The sequence below is a fragment of the Homo sapiens genome, chromosome 3 (assembly GCF_000001405.40).
Source record: "Homo sapiens chromosome 3, GRCh38.p14 Primary Assembly".
Taxonomy (NCBI): domain Eukaryota; kingdom Metazoa; phylum Chordata; class Mammalia; order Primates; family Hominidae; genus Homo; species Homo sapiens.
The window spans coordinates 108,738,595-108,760,813 of NC_000003.12; the positions used below are offsets into that span (position 1 = coordinate 108,738,595).

General features: G+C 43.1%; 1 protein-coding gene and 1 long non-coding RNA gene across 3 annotated transcripts, besides 1 other annotated feature; both read right to left on the reverse strand.

The window, feature by feature from the left end:
- Positions 1-3,894: 3,894 nt before the first annotated feature.
- LOC105374034 (uncharacterized) lies at positions 3,895-9,668 on the reverse strand. 2 transcript variants are annotated; one of them, XR_924323.2, is made up of 6 exons: positions 9,342-9,668; positions 6,837-6,917; positions 5,689-6,109; positions 4,810-4,897; positions 4,508-4,713; positions 3,895-3,932 (listed from the first exon to the last, which is right to left on the reverse strand). It is a non-coding gene; the product is annotated as an uncharacterized LOC105374034 (long non-coding RNA). The 2 variants fall into 2 exon arrangements; XR_924322.3 differs by lacking the exon at positions 9,342-9,668 and adding an exon at positions 7,208-8,060.
- Positions 5,508-6,707: an enhancer, noted in NCBI's record as "BRD4-independent group 4 enhancer chr3:108462949-108464148 (GRCh37/hg19 assembly coordinates)". NCBI's record gives its function as "activates an origin of replication core promoter dependent on BRD2, P300/CBP, MED14 and CDK7 cofactors, and independent of BRD4, by STARR-seq in HCT116 cells {active_cell/tissue: HCT116}" and the evidence as "EXISTENCE:reporter gene assay evidence [ECO:0000049][PMID:35650434]".
- Positions 9,669-17,043: 7,375 nt separating the features above from the next.
- RETNLB (resistin like beta) lies at positions 17,044-18,816 on the reverse strand. Its single transcript, NM_032579.3, has 3 exons — positions 18,465-18,816; positions 17,914-17,994; positions 17,044-17,311 (listed from the first exon to the last, which is right to left on the reverse strand). The coding sequence occupies exons 1-3, from the start codon at positions 18,589-18,591 to the stop codon at positions 17,184-17,186; spliced, it is 336 nt and encodes a 111-aa protein (NP_115968.1). The 5' UTR covers positions 18,592-18,816; the 3' UTR covers positions 17,044-17,183.
- Positions 18,817-22,219: the final 3,403 nt, after the last annotated feature.

The window sequence follows — 22,219 nt, forward strand, 5'->3', positions numbered from 1 at the left end:
TGTTTTTTTGTAAGATTACGAGATCAGACTTTGAATTATTTTTAGTTAAAAAAAGATTTATGAATTCAGTTCAAAGTTTCTCTTTCAGAAAATCTGGATTTGTAAACACTATTTTGAATCTGGAGATTCAAAGAAGTCAATGTTCAGAATCAAATCTAAGAAACGACTCCATGATTCAATGGGTGAGGAAACTGGGAAAACTAGGAAGCAGCTGTTAGTGGGAGCAAAAATGTATTGGTTATACTTCAAAAAATCTGCTACATCAGTAAGTCTTTTTAATGTCTTCATAAATTATATGTGGGTACTTTATACAATTTAAGCAGCTATTATTATGATTATTAAGACTGATGGTTTCTTTCTTTTCTTTTTTTTTTTTTGGGATGGAGTCTCACTCTGTCATCCATGTTGGAGTGCAGTGGTGCAATCTTGGCTCACTGAAACCTCTGCCTCCTGGGTTCAAGCAATTCTCTGCCTCAGCCTCCCAAGTAGCTGGGATTACAGGCGCCCGCCACCATGCCTCAGCCTCCCAAGTAGCTGGGACTACAGGCGCCTGCCACCACGCCTGGCTAATTTTTGTATTTTTAGTAGAGATGGGGTTTCACCATCTTGGCCAGGCTGGTCTTGAATTCCTGACTTCGTGATCCACCCACCTTGGCCTCCCAAAGTGTTGGAATTACAGGTGTGAGCCACCATGCCCGGCCCTATTTTTCTTTTAAGTGTAATAATTCTAGTTAGAGGAGACCACACCCAATATAGTTTACCAATGTGTATTTTTCTCTGGGAGTGTACAATTTTACACAATTTTACAGTCAGTGGGTTATTAACCACTGAATTGACTCACCATCTGTGCTTATCCTACTTATGCCTCTGGTGTTCGTTGCTTATATGAGATAAACAGGCCATTAAGTGTTGCATCAAGTTCCTCCCCTATGAAACCTCCTGCTTGTCCATCTTAATCCTGCCAACCAATCATAGGCTAATAAGAGTTCACAAACTTCTTCTTTTAGGATTTGTCATAATTAGTGAAGCCCCTAAGCCATATGTATAATAACTTTTCTTGATGAAACTCTCAGTCTGTGGAGGGAGGCAACCTAATTTTTGCACCTAAGCACACTCAATCTCAGGTGGTGCTCAGCCTCCTCTTCCCTCTCCCTCAGCCCTTCACTCTTGGCCTCCCACAAGCACATACTCACATCCCTACCATTTCTAACACTTTCTCCTCAGCTGTGGTGCCCTCTCCCAGATAGATTTGACCATTAGAGAATGACTCTCCCTCTCTACCCTTTTCTTCTTCCTTTAAGGCTGAGCTTCAGGGCTGACCCAAGCGAATACTGTAAACTTTGCCTTGGTAGATTTTCTACCTTAATTTCTATCGTTCCTTCCATTATACAAACAACACTGTCTGGTAAGCCTCAAAGTGAGACCCTTTCTATGCATGTGTGTATTTAACTAGAAGAATCAGAGATTTCTGGTCACCTTCACTTTACAAGTGAATCTAATGGTAGCATTTGAGGCAGAAAAGACAGGGACATTTTTTAAAACGAGAACTTTCTTAGATTCCCTCAAATTATATCGTGGGTCATGCAAATAGTCTTCGAGGCTTAGGCAAGTAGCTCCTGTGGCCTTATAGAACTGTCTTCCTGATGCCTTTTCAGTCTACTTAGGGCCTTACAGGAGTTTCTATTCATAATCAAGGGCCTTCTTTTCTACCTCCAGGCCATATACCCAGGGCTTAGGTCCAAGCCTTAGCACTAACATATTCCTTCCCAGATCAATCATGTGCTTCAGCATTTCCTCTTTATGGGATTTGCCAGAGGGAAAAATAAAAATCCCTCTCACCTAAGAGGGGATTTATTTAGCTAAAACTAACACTTAATATCTCAAAAGTAGGATATGTGACAGCTAAAAATAAGGGCTGAATGATGGCTTACTACATTATCAATGTCTTACCAAATGGTACCCATTATGTTTCTGCTGCACAAATGTGCAGAAGCTGGCTTCTAACATTCAGAGAGCACACAAGTGAATAAAAGCAGTTGGCATACAGCCCTATAAAACACAATTCACTGGTGGCTCAAATCTCTTCCTGTTGGGGCCAGTTTTATGGTTTCTGCAGAATTGGAAATCTGCCCCTCAAAATAGCTTTCGGATACTTATTCACTGGCCAATTTAAGCATGTGTAAGAAATATGCTTCTGATTGTTAGTATGTAATGCAGAAGTGTTAACATCAGCTATTGGGAAAATGTTGGGATTCCCTATTACCATTGTGCCTTGATTTAGGTTACAAGCAACCTTTGTGAGAATTAGGGAGTGTAGACACTTATATGTTAGCTTCAGAATGGAGGTCTCTAGAAGGATAGTATTCCTTTTGAGTGAGATGTCTGATGATAGAAGCACACATTCTAGGGAAGGATTTCTTAACCCTTGGCCCTATTGACAGTTCATGCAAGGCAATTCTTTGTTGGCAGTGGGGGTTTTACCTGTGCATTGCATGAAGTTTCTTGACATTTGTGGTCTATTCCCAACTAGATGCCAATATCACTTTGCCTCTGCCAGGTGTGACAACCAAAAATGTTTCCAGATATTTCCAAGTTTTCTGGTTGAGAACCACTATTCTAGTGTAAAGAGAGGACAGCCTATGCTATTTTAGGTATCTAAAGGGCAGCATCCAAAGCTTATGTGGGGTGTACTCAACATTTGAATACAAAGTAAGGAGAACTAAATGCACACACACATACACATACACATACACACATTTTGGCCTTACTTTAATTTTTTTTCTCTTTCCTTTCTGGAATGCACAACCTCCCCAACCTTTATCCATGAATAACAAATTAGCAAAGATTGCTAAACAGTGTATAGATTTCTTAAAAATTTCCTTTGTTCTAGGCCAGGCACGGTGGCTCCCGCCTGTAATCCCAGCACTTTGGGAGGCTGAGGCGGGCGGATCACAAGGTCAGGAGATCGAGACCATTCTGGCTAACACGGTGAAACCCCGTCTCTACTTAAAAATACAAAAAATTAGCCGGGCGTGTTGGCGGACGCCTGTAGTCCCAGCTGCTCGGGAGGCTGAGGCAGGAGAATGGCGTGAACCCGGAAGGCGGAGCTTGCAGTGAGCCAAGATGGCGCCACTGCACTCCAGCCTGGGCGACAGAGCGAGACTCCGTCTCAAAAAAAAAAAAAAAAAAAGTAAAAACCTTTTGGGTTTTTGGGAGGATTGCTTGGGGTCAGGAGTTTGAGACCAGCCTGGGCAACCTAGTGATACTTCTTCTCTATAAAAATAAAAAATAGCCAAGTGTATTAGTGAGCGTCCTCTAGAGGGACAAAATTAACAGGATAGATGTATATATAAAGGGGAGTCTATAAAGGAGTATTGACTCACATGATTACAAGGCAAAGTCCCACAGCAGACCATCTGCAAGCTGAGGAGCAAGGAAGCTAGTCCGAGTCCCAAAACCTGAAAAGTAGGGAAGCCGTCAGTGCAGCCTTCAGTCTGTGGTTGAAGGTCCAAGAGTCCCAAAGCTGAAGAACTTGAGGTCCGATGTTCGAGGGCAGGAAGTGTCCGGCATGGGAGAAAGATGGAGGCCAGAAGACTCAGCCAGTCTAGTTTTTCCACGTTCTTCTGCCTGCTTTTATTCTGGCTGTGCAGGCAGCTGATTAGATGGTGCCCACCCAGATTGAGGGTGGTTCTGCTTTTCCCAGCCCACTGTCTCAAATGTTAATCTCCTTCGGCAACACCCTCACAGACACACCCAGGAACAATACTTTGCATCCTTCAGTCCAACCAAGTTGGCACTCAATATTAACCATCACACAAGTGTGGGAGCACGCATCTGTAGTCCCAGCTACTTGGGAAGCTGAGGCAGGAGGATTGCTTGAGCTCAGGAGTTTGAGGCTGCATTGATCTATAATCATTCCACTGCATTCCAGCCTGGGAAACAGAGCAAGATTCTGTCTGTTAATTAAAAAAATAAATAAATAAGATAAAAACCTTCAGAGAAATGAAGTTTTGAGAAGCAAGAGCTTTGCTGCAATGGGTAATGGTTGTACTGAGGCTGGAGGTGGTGAGGAGAGGAGGCAACAGCACTATAAAATCTAATTTCTGATCCCACCAGAGTTGTTGCATTGGTGTTACCACCTTCTTGTTAGGATGAGAATCTGAAAATCAATCATACTTTTATAGTTCTTCCAAGGAGAGAAATTATGACACCCTACTTCATGGAACCACAAGCTGAACCACTATGTGCTAACTGATATAAGCATTCCCATTTGGAGGAGAAGCATACCTAAATTTGTGAGAGTGTTTCATACTGGACCCATGGGGAAGAGAATATCAGCATTGGATATTGGTTCTGTTTTAACCTTTCTCTTTTTGCCAATACATCCAGTAAGTAGGAATCTTTATTGTTAAGTTTCTGGTGTAGAATTGAAGTAGAATGTCTATGAATCATGGGTGATAGGCTATGCGATTCTATAACAGTGGATGATTTATGCCCTCTTTCTTACCAGAGATGTTGAGAACCAGTCAGCCTGGGATAAATGATTGCAGATTACAAAGGGTGGGGGATGAGTTGTCATTGCATGTTTAGTGTCTGAAGCAGGTGATGGTTCATTTGTGCTGCATGCCAGAGTCAGCAGAGTGAAGATTTCTCCCAGTGGTTTGGGATCCTGGGTCATGATTCCCTAGAGGGGCCATGCATTCAGGGATTGGCCTTGGAGACATCAGAAAGCAATAGGAAGAGTCACCACCTGCCTTTGATACCTGCCACCTTCTCTTTAATTTGCCCTCTTCAAGGACAAAGACTCACCTGTGCTTTCTTGAGTATTTTACAACATGATTCCTAGGTGAATACAGCTCAGGTCTTATGACATCATTAGAGGATCCGGTTCCAGATTCTTAGGAAAAAAAAAACCACTTAAATCCCATGTAAGGGGGAATGAACAGTTAGGTATAGTGAGACAGCTTGACTCTAAGAGTGAGTCTTAAGCACTCAGCTCTGCTAGAAGAATCTGTGGTCAGGTGGTACTTACATTTCACTCAGAGGCCTACAACTTAAGCCTCAAAAATTCCTCATATTATGCCAAATGTATCCTTGCACTTGTGACATAGAGACTCTACATACTGGGAAGGATCTGAGGCAATTGTGTAGGAATTCCCACATGGAGGGAGCATCATAGCAGTCTAAAGGGGAATTACATGCCAGGCTTCTTCAGTGAAGGATGTGGTGAGAAAACTGACCACCTGTAAAAAGTGCATAAATGAACCATGCCTTTTTTCCCTGATGCCTTGACACCTTGAGGCCTTGCTGACCCTGACCCTGGAAGGACGGCCCTCGCCTAGGTTGGCTAATTCCTAGAGGTAGCAAACAACTCACCTTCCCTTCTTTTTATATGCAAAACAACCAATCCAGGGTCATAACTTCACCCACCTCCTTTACTGGGGTCTCACTCTCTAGGCCACTCTCTACCTGTGCTACTCACCGTAGGGCCAGGTGTCAGACAACTAAGGGCAGCCCCTAGGTCTCAGAGCCTGCTGAAATTATTGAAGCTAGCCAATCCTAATCCTTCTTACCCTGTCTTGTGTGTCCTTTCCCATGGAAATCAAAATAAAGTCCTTGCCACATTTTCCCCTTTCTCCCTCTGCCTCCCAACCCACCCCAGTGCTTCTCCGTGTGGCTCCCCATCACCTGGCATGCCGCCTTCTCTTGGAATCTGTGAGTATAATCCTCTTTTCCATGGCAGTCATTTCCTGATCTGTTGGCCTTGCCACACCTAAATAATCATGGAACCTATATTTTAAAGTAGTGACTGGTGATCAGAGAAGTGATGACTAGATCATCCAGGTTGCTCCCAAGCCAAGACAAAGCATATGTGCCTTGATGTTTAGGGAATGCTATAGATGGTGACCATGCACAGAGCATGTGTACAGTTTTACTTTTCTGTACCTCTAGTGCTGAGAACAAACAGATCCTGGAACAGTGTGGCCCTATATTTGTTGAAGAATGAGATGATGGTGGTGAGGGTGGAAAGCTGATTTCAGTTCTTATGGTTCTCCCTAAGGCCTCCCCTTCAAGCAGAAGTTGGAACACGTGACATGGAGGTAACATCCTATGAATAGAGAAGACCCAGGTCAGAGGCTACTAGCACCAAGGACACAGCACTGAGAGATGCCATAGGCAGAGAGACTTGAGTTAAAAAGTTATGGTTTGGATGAGTGGGGGTGGAGGTTTCCTGGTTGTGATCATGATTTTGTTGCCTTCATGGCCTCCAGACTGAGGTGTCAGCCCTCTTTTCTTAGATGAGGTGGCAGCAGTGGGCAGCGGTTGACTCTAGGGGATTGTAATGGCCTTGGCTCGTGGTTTTCCCCAGACATCCCGTGAGTCACAGGCATGGCCAGAGGAACATCTGGTGATGATGTGCCCTGCATGGCCTGGACGGTGGCAGAAGGGGCAAGGACATCAGAGATCCTGAGAGAAGACCTCCTGCAATTTTCTTTTGTCCTATAAAGTAATCTCGCTTCTGATGGGGTTGAAATAGTATGGGATTAGATTGGGAAAGTGAGATGGAGGACAATGGGGAACAGAAACATTTGGGATGTGGGAGATTTAGGAAGAAAGGAGAGCATGAGAATAAACATGAGATCCCTAAGTAGCCCCTTGGGATGAAAAGATGGAAAGGGAAATTATGGGTATTGGGGTTGTGACTCAATCCAGCAACATTACAATCCTGAGGTTGGGGACAGCCTGCTATACAGCGATGGGTTGGCAGCCTAAGCTCAGCACACAGGAATGAGCATGGGGGAGGCAATCCCCTTTAACTTCATACAGCGAGTTACCTGAGGGGCAGGAGGACAGGTTGCTTTCATTAGTGATGTTGGTTCAGGAGAGATGTTTTGGGCAGCCTGAGGGATTGCATTCTGTGGGAAGAGATAAAGAGCAAACACAGGGGCTTTCACTGGCCAATCCCATATCACCCTTCTGCTCATGCAAATAAGTCACTGTGTCCATTATCAAGTCACATCAATAGTTGAGTGCTGTGAAGCAAATTATGTAACTTTTCTAAGCCTCAGTTTCCTCTTCTGTGGAATGCAAAATATAACAGTGCTTACCTCACAGAATTTTGTAAGGAGTTAATAACGTAGTAATAGAATATCTAAAGGTACCTAACACATAGTAAATGCTCAAGAATGCTAGGTATAGTCCTTACCAATGCCATTGCCATTGGTTCTAAGAGTCCCAAAAGGCATAGAGAGGGCAGCAAGTTGAGGATGCATCTTCCAGTTAGAGGTTGGAATCTGGGGATGGGTTAGGAAATGGCTTGTGGTCTAGTAACAGGATTGAGAATCAGGGATATAACTTCCACCCTCATCCCCATATCAATTACTCAGTTTGCTGAGAGCAACTCTTATCCTTTTGTTAACAGCTAACTGTAAGGAGCACTGGGCATCCCCTGCAGGCATAGTTGGAGAAGGAGGATGAGAAGGAGGTGGAAAGAGGTCTTCGTTTTGTAAAAAGGCAGCATCCTGAGCTGAAGGGAAAATGAAGAGAAGATGAAAAGCAGCTCCTGGGTTCATAGGGGAGGGGAGGGAAAGGAGCAGGAAAGGTAGGAGCAGGTACTGTAGGGAGCAGGGAAGAGGCAGCTGTCATGCTTGGGATGCCTGGGTCCCCTTCCAGCACTCCTACGAAGCAGAGATGTCAAGAAGGTAGCCTTGCTCAGGTTCACCTGCCAGACTGAGGAAGGAGCTGCTGAAGATGGGAGGACAGGGACTTTTTATATCTGGCGGTGTGTCTGGTGTGGCATTGTCTCCCCTCCACCAACACACACTCTGGCAGTAACTAGGAACTAAGGTAGCCTGGGAGGGTCAAACTTTTAGAATGAGCCTGGGACAATCTCCAGTTTGTGTCCTGAGAGGTCCCAGCTGCCGTTGCTCTCGTTCTCTGCCTAAGGAATTCTTCCTGCTTTTCTTTCTCCTCTCTTTTCTTCTTGGCAGCCCCACAAGCTCGGCAGCTACTTTGCCAGAAATCACCAAATTGGATGATATATCTCATTATAGGCCTTTTGTTCATTCCTTCATTGGGAAAAGGTACAGAGAGTATGATCTAAGGGCCCTTATTGTCATCTGTTCAGATAACATGACATTGCCCTTGACTAATTCTCTCCATAGACCAGTAACACAAAATTTCAGCTGGGGGAGACATAGAATTAGAATGGAGGCTCTATGAAGGCAGTAATCTTTTCCTGTTTTGGCAACCACTGCAGCCCAGTGCCTTTGTATAAAGAATTTAATAAATATTTGTTAAATGAGTGAATAAGAATACTTTTTATTTAGTTAAGAAGAAAAATAGTTTAAATGATTTCAGAGTTTGTTTAGTGGTAGAATAATGTGATTACAGCTCCAGGTTCTTTTTCCTCTTTCTGCTTCACCATGCTTACAGTTTTGGCTCAAAAGTCACAGGATGATTGAACTAACTCCATGGACACAAGATAGCTGCCACAGCTCCAGACATCACATCCTCACACCAACAGCCCAAGCAAGAAGTGACATGGACAATTTTGAGTCTCTGTTTTTAATTCAAGAAGTGAATTCTTTCTCAGGAGGCCCAAGAAGAACCCTCCCATGTATGTCTTCTTGGTCTGATTTGGGTCACCTGCCACCCCATGCAACTCCACTCCATGCAAAGGTGGCTAGAAAAAGAAATACTTGGCCAAGAGAAGTGAAAGTTATATTATTGGTTTAACCAATATTTTATCCTTCAGGACTGGACACATCAATACCCTGAATGACATCAAGATTCTGTTAACAGTGAGAAAGGGGAAATGGGCCACCAAGTGAGCAGCTAATTATATTGGACAAAGCTACAATATCTACTTTTGCTTCTGCTATAGCTAACCTCTCTGACCTCCATCTTCACTCTCTGGCTTTTCTTTCTCAGAGTGCCCTCTAATGAACAGCTATTTCTCCTACTGACACTTTGAGAATTAAACCCAAGGATCTCCATTAAAACAACATTTGTTCCTCAATGACCAGGATTGAGGTAAAAGAAGAGGAATAGAAAGCAAAAGAGGGAGCTGACTCAGACTCAGAGCTAGACCCAGTAGCAGGCGCATTGTTCATTATAGCTCCTCCATGGGCCAGGCACTGTGCTATGCACTGGGGAGTCAATGGTGTGCAAGTTAGGCAAAGTTTTCTCTTTCATGGACTACATGTTCCAATGCAAGAGATAGTTAATACACTCATAAATAGAATATGAAGTCAACACTGAGAAGCATCATGAAAAAAAAAACAGGGCAAGAGTTAGAGGTGATGCGAAAGGTTTTCTGAAAAAAATTGAGCACTGACCTTTTGTGTGAGAACTGTGTAACTATCTGGGAGACAGGACGTAGGAAGGCCTCAAGGTGGGAGGGTGGCTATGACAGAGAATACCTAGAATGCAGATATGGCCAGGGTGAACAAGGGTTACAAATGAAGTTAGAGATATAGCCAGTGACCAGGGAATGCAGGATTTAGTTGGCCTTGAGATTTTATTTTTTCATGTTGTGGAAGTCACTAGACTTGAACAGGAAGGTGACATTATCTGCTTTCTATTCTAAAAGACTCACTGCAGCAGCTATAAATAAGAGTATACCTATTATTATAATAATTAACAGTGCATATTTGAACAGAGCAGTTATAACAAATTTTTATAAGTAATTAATAAACCCAAACAATATTTCATAACTATATTTTTTTAAATGAGAAAGAGCTTCTCCTCCCACCCAAGTAGTTTATATACTCATGGACATTTCGCTAGAGTGACATACAGTCTAGAACCATTATATTCCTAGCATTTTTTTTTTTGAGACAGAGTCTTGCTCTGTTGCCCAGGCTGGAGGCTGGAGTGCAGTGGCACGATCACAGCTCACTGCAACCTCCGCCTCCCAGGTTCAAACAATTTTCCTGCATCAGGCTCCCAAGTAGCTGGGATTACAGGCATGAGCCACCACGCCCAGCTAATTTTTTTGTATTTTTAGTAGAGACAGGGTTTCACCATGTTGGCCAGACTGGTCTCGAACTCCTGACCTCAAGTGATCCACCCCCTCGGCCTCCCAAAGTGCTGGGATCACAGGCATAAGCCGCCGCACCCAGCCATTCTTACTATTTCTTTTCATAATTGCCAGCTTTGACATGTCTACTTTTTATAATTAAGTAGATAGAAAGAAAAAGTGTTTATTGTAGTAATGCCGTTCAATTTGTCTGAATTCCTTTTGAATGACTTGTCAACAATCTCACACACCAACTTATTATTAAAAATTATTTTTGGTGATTCATCAATTGACAATTGCATTATATCCTCCTTCAATCCTATAAAGACCAAACCATGGAAGCCTCCCGAGCCGTGAAAGGACTTGTTACCCCATCACTGGATCATTCATACACTCATTGTGGATGCCCATATTTTTAATCACTTCTTGTTTGGCATTCTGCAGATTTTTATACCCCAGGATAATAAGATTCAGTGACAGGTGAGGGCTGTGGTTTTCTTTTGTTATGTGGGAGAAAGGCAATGGTGAAAGAAGTCACCTTGATCAAAGCACGTCTCAGGCACTTGAATTTAGTAAAGAGTACATATGCACACTGAAAATCTAGAAATAGATTCCCTTAAAGCTACCCCTGCTTGCCCATCCCTTGAAAAATCTCACACATAGCTCGGAGCCTGTTATTCTAGTTGGTGAGCTCTGTAAGGGTGTGTTATTTTATTTCTCTTTACCCCTTGCCAAGCAGTATGTCTGGCACAGCCATCTTTTTGTTTAAAAATGAGGATCTCGAGCCAAGATGGCCGAATAGGAACAGCTCCGGTCTACAGCTCCCAGCGTGAGCGACGCAGAAGACGGGTGATTTCTGCATTTCCATCTGAGGTACCGGGTTCATCTCACTAGGGAGTGCCAGACAGTGGGCGCAGGCCAGTGTGTGTGCGCACCGTGCGCGAGCCGAAGCAGGGCGAGGCATTGCCTCACCTGGGAAGCGCAAGGGATCAGGGAGTTCCCTTTCCGAGTCAAAGAAAGGGGTGACGGACGCACCTGGAAAATCGGGTCACTCCCACCCGAATATTGCGCTTTTCAGACCGGCTTAAGAAACGGCGCACCACGAGACTATATCCCACACCTGGCTCAGAGGGTCCTACGCCCACGGAATCTCGCTGATTGCTAGCACAGCAGTCTGAGATCAAACTGCAAGGCGGCAACGAGGCTGGGGGAGGGGCGCCCGCCATTGCCCAGGCTTGCTTAGGTAAACAAAGCAGCCGGGAAGCTCGAACTGGGTGGAGCCCACCACAGCTCAAGGAGGCCTGCCTGCCTTTGTAGGCTCCACCTCTGGGGGCAGGGCACAGACAAACAAAAAGACAGCAGTAACCTCTGCAGACTTAACTGTCCCTGTCTGACAGCTTTGAAGAAAGCAGTGGTTCTCCCAGCACGCAGCTGGAGATCTGAGAACGGGCAGACTGCCTCCTCAAGTGGGTTCCTGACCCCTGACCCGCGAGCAGCCTAACTGGGAGGCACCCCCCAGCAGGGGCACACTGACACCTCACACAGCAGGGTATTCCAACAGACCTGCAGCTGAGGGTCCTGTCTGTTAGAAGGAAAACTAACAACCAGAAAGGACATCTACACCGAAAACCCATCTGTACATCACCATCATCAAAGACCAAAAGTAGATAAAACCACAAAGATGGGGAAAAAACAGAACAGAAAAACTGGAAACTCTAAAACGCAGAGCGCCTCTCCTCCTCCAAAGGAACGCAGTTCCTCACCAGCAACAGAACAAAGCTGGATGGAGAATGATTCTGACGAGCTGAGAGAAGAAGGCTTCAGACGATCAAATTACTCTGAGCTACGGGAGGACATTCAAACCAAAGGCAAAGAAGTTGAAAACTTTGAAAAAAATTTAGAAGAATGTATAACTAGAATAACCAATACAGAGAAGTGCTTAAAGGAGCTGATGGAGCTGAAAACCAAGGCTCGAGAACTACGTGAAGAATGCAGAAGCCTCAGGAGCCGATGCGATCAACTGGAAGAAAGGGTATCAGCAATAGAAGATGAAATGAATGAAATGAAGCGAGAAGGGAAGTTTAGAGAAAAAAGAATAAAAAGAAATGAGCAAAGCCTCCAAGAAATATGGGACTATGTGAAAAGACCAAATCTACGTCTGATTGGTGTACCTGAAAGTGATGTGGAGAATGGAACCAAGTTGGAAAACACTCTGCAGGATATTATCCAGGAGAACTTCCCCAATCTAGCAAGGCAGGCCAACGTTCAGATTCAGGAAATACAGAGAACGCCACAAAGATACTCCTCGAGAAGAGCAACTCCAAGACACATAATTGTCAGATTCACCAAAGTTGAAATGAAGGAAAAAATGTTAAGGGCAGCCAGAGAGGAAGGTTGGGTTACCCTCAAAGGAAAGCCCATCAGACTAACAGCGGATCTCTCAGCAGAAACCCTACAAGCCAGAAGAGAGTGGGGGCCAATATTCAACATTCTTAAAGAAAAGAATTTTCAACCCAGAATTTCATATCCAGCCAAACTAAGCTTCATAAGTGAAGGAGAAATAAAATACTTTATAGACAAGCAAATGCTGAGAGATTTTGTCACCACCAGGCCTGCCCTAAAAGAGCTCCTGAAGGAAGCGCTAAACATGGAAAGGAACAACCGGTACCAGCCGCTGCAAAATCATGCCAAAATGTAAAGACCATCGAGACTAGGAAGAAACTGCATCAACTAATGAGCAAAATCACCAGGTAACATCATAATGACAGGATCAAATTCACACATAACAATATTAACTTTAAATATAAATGGACTAAATTCTGCAATTAAAAGACACAGACTGGCAAGTTGGATAAAGAGTCAAGACCCATCAGTGTGCTGTATTCAGGAAACCCATCTCACGTGCAGAGACACACATAGGCTCAAAATAAAAGGATGGAGGAAGATCTACCAAGCCAATGGAAAACAAAAAAAGGCAGGGGTTGCAATCCTAGTCTCTGATAAAACAGACTTTAAACCAACAAAGATCAAAAGAGACAAAGAAGGCCATTACATAATGGTAAAGGGATCAATTCAACAAGAGGAGCTAACTATCCTAAATATTTATGCACCCAATACAGGAGCACCCAGATTCATAAAGCAAGTCCTGAGTGACCTACAAAGAGACTTAGACTCCCACACATTAATAATGGGAGACTTTAACACCCCACTGTCAACATTAGACAGATCAACGAGACAGAAAGTCAACAAGGATACCCAGGAATTGAACTCAGCTCTGCACCAAGCAGACCTAATAGACATCTACAGAACTCTCCACCCCAAATCAACAGAATATACATTTTTTTCAGCACCACACCACACCTATTCCAAAATTGACCACATAGTTGGAAGTAAAGCTCTCCTCAGCAAATGTAAAAGAACAGACATTATAACAAACTATCTCTCAGACCACAGTGCAATCAAACTAGAACTCAGGATTAAGAATCTCACTCAAAGCCGCTCAACTACATGGAAACTGAACAACCTGCTCCTGAATGACTACTGGGTACATAACGAAATGAAGGCAGAAATAAAGATGTTCTTTGAAACCAACGAGAACAAAGACACCACATACCAGAATCTCTGGGACGCATTCAAAGCAGTGTGTAGAGGGAAATTTATAGCACTAAATGCCTACAAGAGAAAGCAGGAAAGATCCAAAATTGACACCCTAACATCACAATTAAAAGAACTAGAAAAGCAAGAGCAAACACATTCAAAAGCTAGCAGAAGGCAAGAAATAACTAAAATCAGAGCAGAACTGAAGGAAATAGAGACACAAAAAACCCTTCAAAAAATCAATGAATCCAGGAGCTGGTTTTTTGAAAGGATCAACAAAATTGATAGACCGCTAGCAAGCCTAATAAAGAAAAAAAGAGAGAAGAATCAAATAGACACAATAAAAAATGATAAAGGGGATATCACCACCGATCCCACAGAAATACAAACTACCATCAGAGAATACTACAAACACCTCTACGCAAATAAACTAGAAAATCTAGAAGAAATGGATACATTCCTCGACACATACACTCTCCCAAGACTAAACCAGGAAGAAGTTGAATCTCTGAATAGACCAATAACAGGCTCTGAAATTGTGGCAATAATCAATAGTTTACCAACCAAAAAGAGTCCAGGACCAGATGGATTCACAGCCGAATTCTACCAGAGGTACAAGGAGGAACTGGTACCATTCCTTCTGAAACTATTCCAATCAATAGAAAAAGAGGGAATCCTCCCTAACTCATTTTATGAGGCCAGCATCATTCTGATACCAAAGCCGGGCAGAGACACAACCAAAAAAGAGAATTTTAGACCAATATCCTTGATGAACATTGATGCAAAAATCCTCAATAAAATACTGGCAAGCCGAATCCAGCAGCACATCAAAAAGCTTATCCACCATGATCAAGTGGGCTTCATCCCTGGGATGCAAGGCTGGTTCAATATACGCAAATCAATAAATGTAATCCAGCATATAAACAGAGCCAAAGACAAAAACCACATGATTATCTCAATAGATGCAGAAAAAGCCTTTGACAAAATTCAACAACCCTTCATGCTAAAAACTCTCAATAAATTAGGTATTGATGGGACGTATTTCAAAATAATAAGAGCTATCTATGACAAACCCACAGCCAATATCATACTGAATGGGCAAAAACTGGAAGCATTCCCTTTGAAAACTGGCACAAGACAGGGATGCCCTCTCTCACCACTCCTATTCAACATAGTGTTGGAAGTTCTGGCCAGGGCAATTAGGCAGGAGAAGGAAATAAAGGGTATTCAATTAGGAAAAGAGGAAGTCAAATTGTCCCTGTTTGCAGACGACATGATTGTGTATCTAGAAAACCCCATCGTCTCAGCCCAAAATCTCCTTAAGCTGATAAGCAACTTCAGCAAAGTCTCAGGATACAAAATCAATGTACAAAAATCACAAGCATTCTTATACACCAACAACAGACAAACAGAGAGCCAAATCATGAGTGAACTCCCATTCACAATTGCTTCAAAGAGAATAAAATACCTAGGAATCCAACTTACAAGGGATGTGAAGGACCTCTTCAAGGAGAACTACAAACCACTGCTCAAGGAAATAAAAGAGGACACAAACAAATGGAAGAACATTCCATGCTCATGGGTAGGAAGAATCAATATCGTGAAAATGGCCATACTGCCCAAGGTAATTTACAGATTCAATGCCATCCCCATCAAGCTACCAATGACTTTCTTCACAGAATTGGAAAAAACTACTTTAAAGTTCATATGGAACCAAAAAAGAGCCCGCATCGCCAAGTAAATCCTAAGCCAAAAGAACAAAGCTGGAGGCATCACACTACCTGACTTCAAACTATACTACAAGGCTACAGTAACCAAAACAGCATGGTACTGGTACCAAAACAGAGATATAGATCAATGGAACAGAACAGAGCCCTCAGAAATAATGCCGCATATCTACAACTTTCTGATCTTTGACAAACCTGAGAAAAACAAGCAATGGGGAAAGGATTCCCTATTTAATAAATGGTGCTGGGAAAACTGGCTAGCCATATGTAGAAAGCTGAAACTGGATCCCTTCCTTACACCTTATACAAAAATCATTTCAAGATGGATTAAAGATTTAAACGTTAGACCTAAAACCATAAAAACCCTAGAAGAAAACCTAGGCATTACCATTCAGGACATAGGCGTGGGCAAGGACTTCATGTCCAAAACACCAAAAGCAATGGCAACAAAAGCCAAAATTGACAAATGGGATCTAATTAAACTAAAGAGCTTCTGCACAGCAAAAGAAACTACCATCAGAGTGAACAGGCAACCTACAACATGGGAGAAAATTTTCACAACCTACTCATCTGACAAAGGGCTAATATCCAGAATCTACAATGAACTCAAACAAATTTACAAGAAAAAAACAAACAACCCCATCAAAAAGTGGGCAAAGGACATGAACAGACACTTCTCAAAAGAAGACATTTATGCAGCCAAAAAACACATGAAGAAATGCTCATCATCACTGGCCATCAGAGAAATGCAACTCAAAACCACAGTGAGATATCATCTCACACCAGTTAGAATGGCAATCATTAAAAAGTCAGGAAACAACAGGTGCTGGAGAGGATGTGGAGAAATAGGAACACTTTTACACTGTTGGTGGGACTGTAAACTAGTTCAACCATTGTGGAAGTCAGTGTGGCGATTCCTCAGGGATCTAGAACTAGAAATACCATTTGACCCAGCCATCCCATTACTGGGTATATACCCAAAGGACTATAAATCATGCTGCTATAAAGACACATGCACACGTATGTTTATTGCGGCACTATTCACAATAGCAAAGACTTGGAACCAACCCAAATGTCCAACAATGATAGACTGGATTAAGAAAATGTGGCACATATACACCATGGAATACTATGCAGCCATAAAAAATGATGAGTTCATGTCCTTTGTAGGGACATGGATGAAATTGGAAACCATCATTCTCAGTAAACTATCGCAAGAACAAAAAACCAAACACCGCATATTCTCACTCATAGGTGGGAATTGAACAATGAGATCACGTGGACACAGGAAGGGGAATATCACACTCTGGGGACTGTGGTGGGGTCGGGGGATGGGGGAGGGATAGCATTGGGAGATATACCTAATGCTAGATGACACGTTAGTGGGTGCAGCGCACCAGCATGGCACATGTATACATATGTAACTAACCTGCACAATGTGCACATGTACCCTAAAACTTAGAGTATAATAAAAAAAAAAAAAATGAAAAAAAAGAAAAAAATAAATAAATAAATAAATAAAAATGAGGGAAGTGGGGGTTTGGAGTGTCAGTTTGTTTTTCCCATTCTTCCCATATCTTTCCTAACTTCCCATCCCACTTCCCAAACTGAGATGTCACCACTGGGACACTGACAACATTTTCTGGATAGGGGAGCCCCAAGCTGGGGACAATAACAGAGATGACATAAGCACAGAGAGGTACAAAGTTTGTCTTTATTACCCAAGAATCAGGAATGGAACAAATGAAGTGGGACGTTTGAGTTAGATTTCTTGGTTGGGACCCTGGTTTCATTACTGTCATGGTCACAAAACTGAGTTCTCAGCCTCCTCCCTGTCAGGTCAGGTGGCAGCAGCGGGCAGTGGTCCAGTCCACCACACTGCACTGGCAGTGGCAGGTGGTTTCCAGCTGAACATCCCACGAACCACAGCCATAGCCACAAGCACAGCCAGTGACAGCCATCCCTGCATGAGCACATGAAGCACAGACATCAGAGCTCTTGGAATTTAAGAGGAGGAAGGGCTACCCACAACCATCTTTCAACCCTGTGCAGTCAGGGGTAGAGCTAGGTTTCGTGGGGCCTCAAGCTCATTCAATTTTGCGAGCTCATTTCAAGAAAAGAAATACAGAAATCACAGAAACAAATATTTGCTGCCATGAAAGAGACTCATGCAAGTGAGAGACTTGGAACTTGGGAGTTTCAGTTTTCTTCGATTTGTGATAAATTCACCTCTCTGTTGGCCCCTACCCATCAAAACAGAGGAATAGATTGGAAAGAGAAATGAAGTATGTGATCATTATGGGACAATGGAGGAGAGGAAGGGCTGAGAAACAGGGGCATGAAGTGAAGGGGTGAAAGGAAGAGGCAGAAGCCCAAGATCCCCCAGTAGCATCCTTCAGGGAAACAAGAATGGGCAAGGGGTCTCTGGGAACCAAGAGTCATGACTCAGCCCCAGGGTGCCAGGGTGATACAGACCTGACATGGGGGAAGACGTAGGTGCAGGGAGATGGACAGGGGAGGATACAGGGCATCGTAGTCGCCATTCCCTCTCAGGGAGTTACTCACCAGCAGGGCAGGAGGACGGTCTGCCTTGGCTTTTGACACTAGCACACGAGAGCTTCTTGCTTATAGGAGAGGGACTGTACTCTGAGTAGGAAAGAAGAAAGGGTACATCCCATGAGCTATCCTCCCCATAATCCCCTTATCCCCTTCCAAATTGTCTTCTACCTTGGAGGTGACACTGTGTCCAGAATCAGCCTACTCATCAGCTTTTAAGGTTAGTTTCCTCATTTTTAAAGCAGAAGTAATAGTTGTCCTTACCTCATAAAATGGTTGTGGGAATTAAATGAAATAATCTACGTAAAACTTGGATTATACCTGGTTCATAATGAGTGTTCATAAATTACAGCTACCATTCTCCTCCACCTCTTCCTCCTCATCAGGAAAACCTCAGCTTTTAGCCAAGACTTCAAACACGGGTAGGGTAGTGTAGAAAGCCCTCATCAGGGGTTGGGCTTGGTTGGGATCTTGGGATGGGATAGAGACAAAGCTAGAGTTTAAGAACAGGAGAAATGAGCAAGGGTCAACCCCCCGCTTCCCCTACCCCAGTCAGTTACCTAGACTGTTGAGAACATCCTTGATCTTCTTATCCATAACGGAGTCTAAGGAACACTGAGTACTCCCCGGGTTGATCAGCTGGAGAAGGGGGATTAGGATGAGAAGGAGGCAAGAGGACGGCCCCATCCTGTACAGAGTCAGTGTCCTGGGGCTGGGAGAAAAGATGGAAAGCAGCTTAGATCTCTGAGCTCCTGGGTGGTGGTGAAGGAAAGAAGACAACGTGGTTAGTTTCCAGGGAGTAAAGATGGAAGAACAGCGTCATCAGTACTGGATCTCTTTAGGCAGTTTGGAGAAGCAGGTAGGGTTGCTGAAGAACAGATTTATTCACCAAAACATTCAGAGAAGGTCTACAAGGACTAGCCAGGCAAGGGCGTTTTAATACACCTGGTATTAACCTGGGCACCTTTAACATACAAGCACACACAAACATGTAAACACACTCCCAGCACACTTTCAAAGACCTGTGCCAGCTAGGGTAACAGGTGACTGTGATAAACTTTGGAGTGTTCATGAGAAGCAACAGCTGCCTTTGCTCTGGATCTCTGCCAAGGGAGTCCTCCTGCCTTTTTGTTCTCCTTCTCCTTTCTTCTTGGCAACCCGATAAGGCTAGCACCTGGGCCTTCTGTGGTCTGCCGGTATTATAGGCTTCTTGTTTGATCCTTCATCAGGAAGAGGTTACTTTGCAGTTAACAAACAAATTAATCCACCCATCATCTATCCCAAACCCAAGTGTATGCTCTTTCTTATCTCTGTTGGCTGAGGGAGGGCCCTACTTGTCACCTGTTCAGACACCATTTTATTGTCCCTGGCCAATCTCATTTGGAGGAAAGTCACAGAAAGACTAATTAATCCTGGATTAAAAATAAGGAAGTTCAGTATTTACTTAACTAGAAGCATGGTTTATGATTCCAGAGTTCTTTTGGGGGCTCATAAAGTTTCCCTTTTTCCCCCACCATTCTCAGCTAATCTTTCGATCTTGTCTCCTCATGGTCACAAGGTAGAAGGTGCCACATCCTCAGCCCAGACCCTGAGCAGGAAGGAAGGAGTGGGGCAAGGCCACTTTCTGTAGGGGCTTTACCTTTTTATTTTAAGAGCAAGATCTTTCTCTAGAAGCTCAAGAAGATTTCCCCTTACATTCCACTGTTTGGTTCTGGGTCACACAACCTCCCTTTCTATCAGCTATGGCTGAAAAAGAGAGCTGGGCTTCACAATTCCTTATCCAAGACCTGGGGCCCAGGTATGTTTCAGAACTCAGAATGTTTCAGATTATGGAAGGTGCAAATTCTGTATATTATGTTAAACCACCAAGGAGGTTGGGGGCAGCACTCTGCAGTCTAATGCATAAATAGCCTGATGCAAAATGTATGAATATTAATGTGGGATAAATAAAAGACCATAAAGAGCCTCACACCAGGCCATGCCAAGTTTTTCTGCCAAATGAGTTAGCCTCAAATTTAGGACAGAACATTTTCATCTTTAGAGCCTTTTAGATTTTAGAATAATGGATAAGGGATTGAGGACTTTGAGGATTCACATATGGCCAAGAGGAATGAGGATGCCATGATTCCTCATCTAGGATGGGGCATGTGGCCACCATGAATAAATAAAATTTAAAGAAGTGCAGATGAAGAAGCAGAGAAAGGGGCCATGTGTTGTGGCTCATGCCCATAATTCCAATACTTTGATAGGCTGAGGCAGGAGGGTCTCTTGAGCACAAGAGTTCAAGACCAGCCTGGGCAACATAGTGAGACTCTATCAAAAAAAAAAAATTTACTGGGAGTGGTACCATGCATTTGTGGTCCCGGCTACTTAGGAGACTGAGGCAGGAGGATCACTTGAGCCTCAAGGTTGCAGTGAGCTGAGATTGTTTCACTGCACTCCAGCCTGGATGACAAAGCAAGACCTTGCCTCAAAAATAAATAAAATAAAATAAAATAAAATGAGAAGCAGAAAAAGGCAGTTAGGTGACTATTCCTTGAGGCAGTCAGAGCTGGAAAGGCTGGGCTCTACCTCTGTGACCAGCCTTTCTGCCCACTTTCCTGGAGATGCCCTCTAATGAACAGCTATTACTTATACATATCTCTCTCAGGCAACTTTGAGAAATGAGGCCTGGAGATGCCAGCAAAAAGGCAAGGATGCTTCCTCAATTACCAGACAGGAGTTGAAGAGAAGAAAAATGAGACTGGAGAATAAGAAAGAGCATACACTTGGATTTGGGATACATGATGGGTTGATTAATTGTTTGCTAATTCAATGAAAATTTGTAGAGCTTCTCTTTACCAGCTCTAGCTCTGCTGACTCAGTGGTGGACAACGTAGACAAGCTCTTTGCCCTTTTGTAATGGGGGAGATAAATACAGTGTATATACATATACTGTATTTATATATATGTATGTATGTGTATATATATATATGTATGTATATATATACATATATATATGTATGTATGTGTATACATACATATGTATGTATGTGTATACATACATATGTATGTATGTGTATACATACATATGTATGTATGTGTATACATACATATGTATGTATGTGTATACATACATATGTATGTATGTGTATACATACATATGTATGTATGTGTATACATACATATGTATGTATGTGTATACATACATATGTATGTATGTGTATACATACATATGTATGTATATATGGTCAAGTATTGAGAAATGCTGTAAAGAAAAATAAGTCAAGACAAGGCAATAGAGTGTGCCACTGTGCTATTGCCCATAATGCAGTATGTTCAGGAAAGGTGTCTCAGAAAAGGTAACAATGACCTGAAGAAGTGAGGGGGTGAGTCACAGGAAAATCTGGGACAAATGTTCTAGCCTGTGGAACAAGTATAAAGAGCCCACGGCAGAGAGTTGGTTAGTGTGTTGAAAGAATGACAACAATGGCAATATGGCCAGAATGAAGTATAGGGGGAAGGCCAGAGAAGAAGTCAGAGAGCTGACCAGGGCCAGATTATATAGAGCTTGTAAGCCAATGTAAGGGCTTTGGATTTTATTATAAATTTGACAGCAAATTATTGTAGTGTTTTGTTCAGGGGAGTGACATAAAATGATTTATGGTTTTCTAATGTTTAATTTTTCTTTTTTTTTTGGAGATAGGGTCTAGTTCTGTTGCCCAAGCTGGAGTGCAGTGGTGTGATCATGGCACTGCAGCCTCAAACTCCTGGGCTCAAGTGATCCTTGTGCCTAAGCCTTCCAAGTAGCTGGGACTATAATAGTGTGCCATCACACCCGGCTATTTAAAAAAAAATTTTTTTTTGTAGAGACAAGGCCTTATTATGTTGCCTAAGCTAGTCTTGAATGCCTGAGCTCAAGTGATCCCCCCATCTCGCTTCCCAAAGGTGAAATTACAGGTGTGACCCACTGTGCCTGGCCCTGATTAATGTTTTATAAAGCTTACTATGGCCACTGTGGAAGAGACACCGCGGAGGGAAAACAGGTAAGATGTAAGCAGGGAAAGCAGGCAGCAGGCTTCTACAGAGTTCTAGGTCTTGGAGAATAATCAAGGAAGGAGTGAGAACCGAGCCTCCATAGGGTTTGCTGATGTATGCAAGGTGTAGAAGAAATAGAGAAGTACAGATCTAGAGTTTTGTTTTGAATAACTTATTGAAGAGTGCTGCTACTTACTGAAATGGGGTTCCCTGGGAGAACAGTAGATATGGTGGGAACATAAAATCATATTTGATCATAGTCAATTTAATGTACCTATTAGAAATGTAGGGGGAGCTG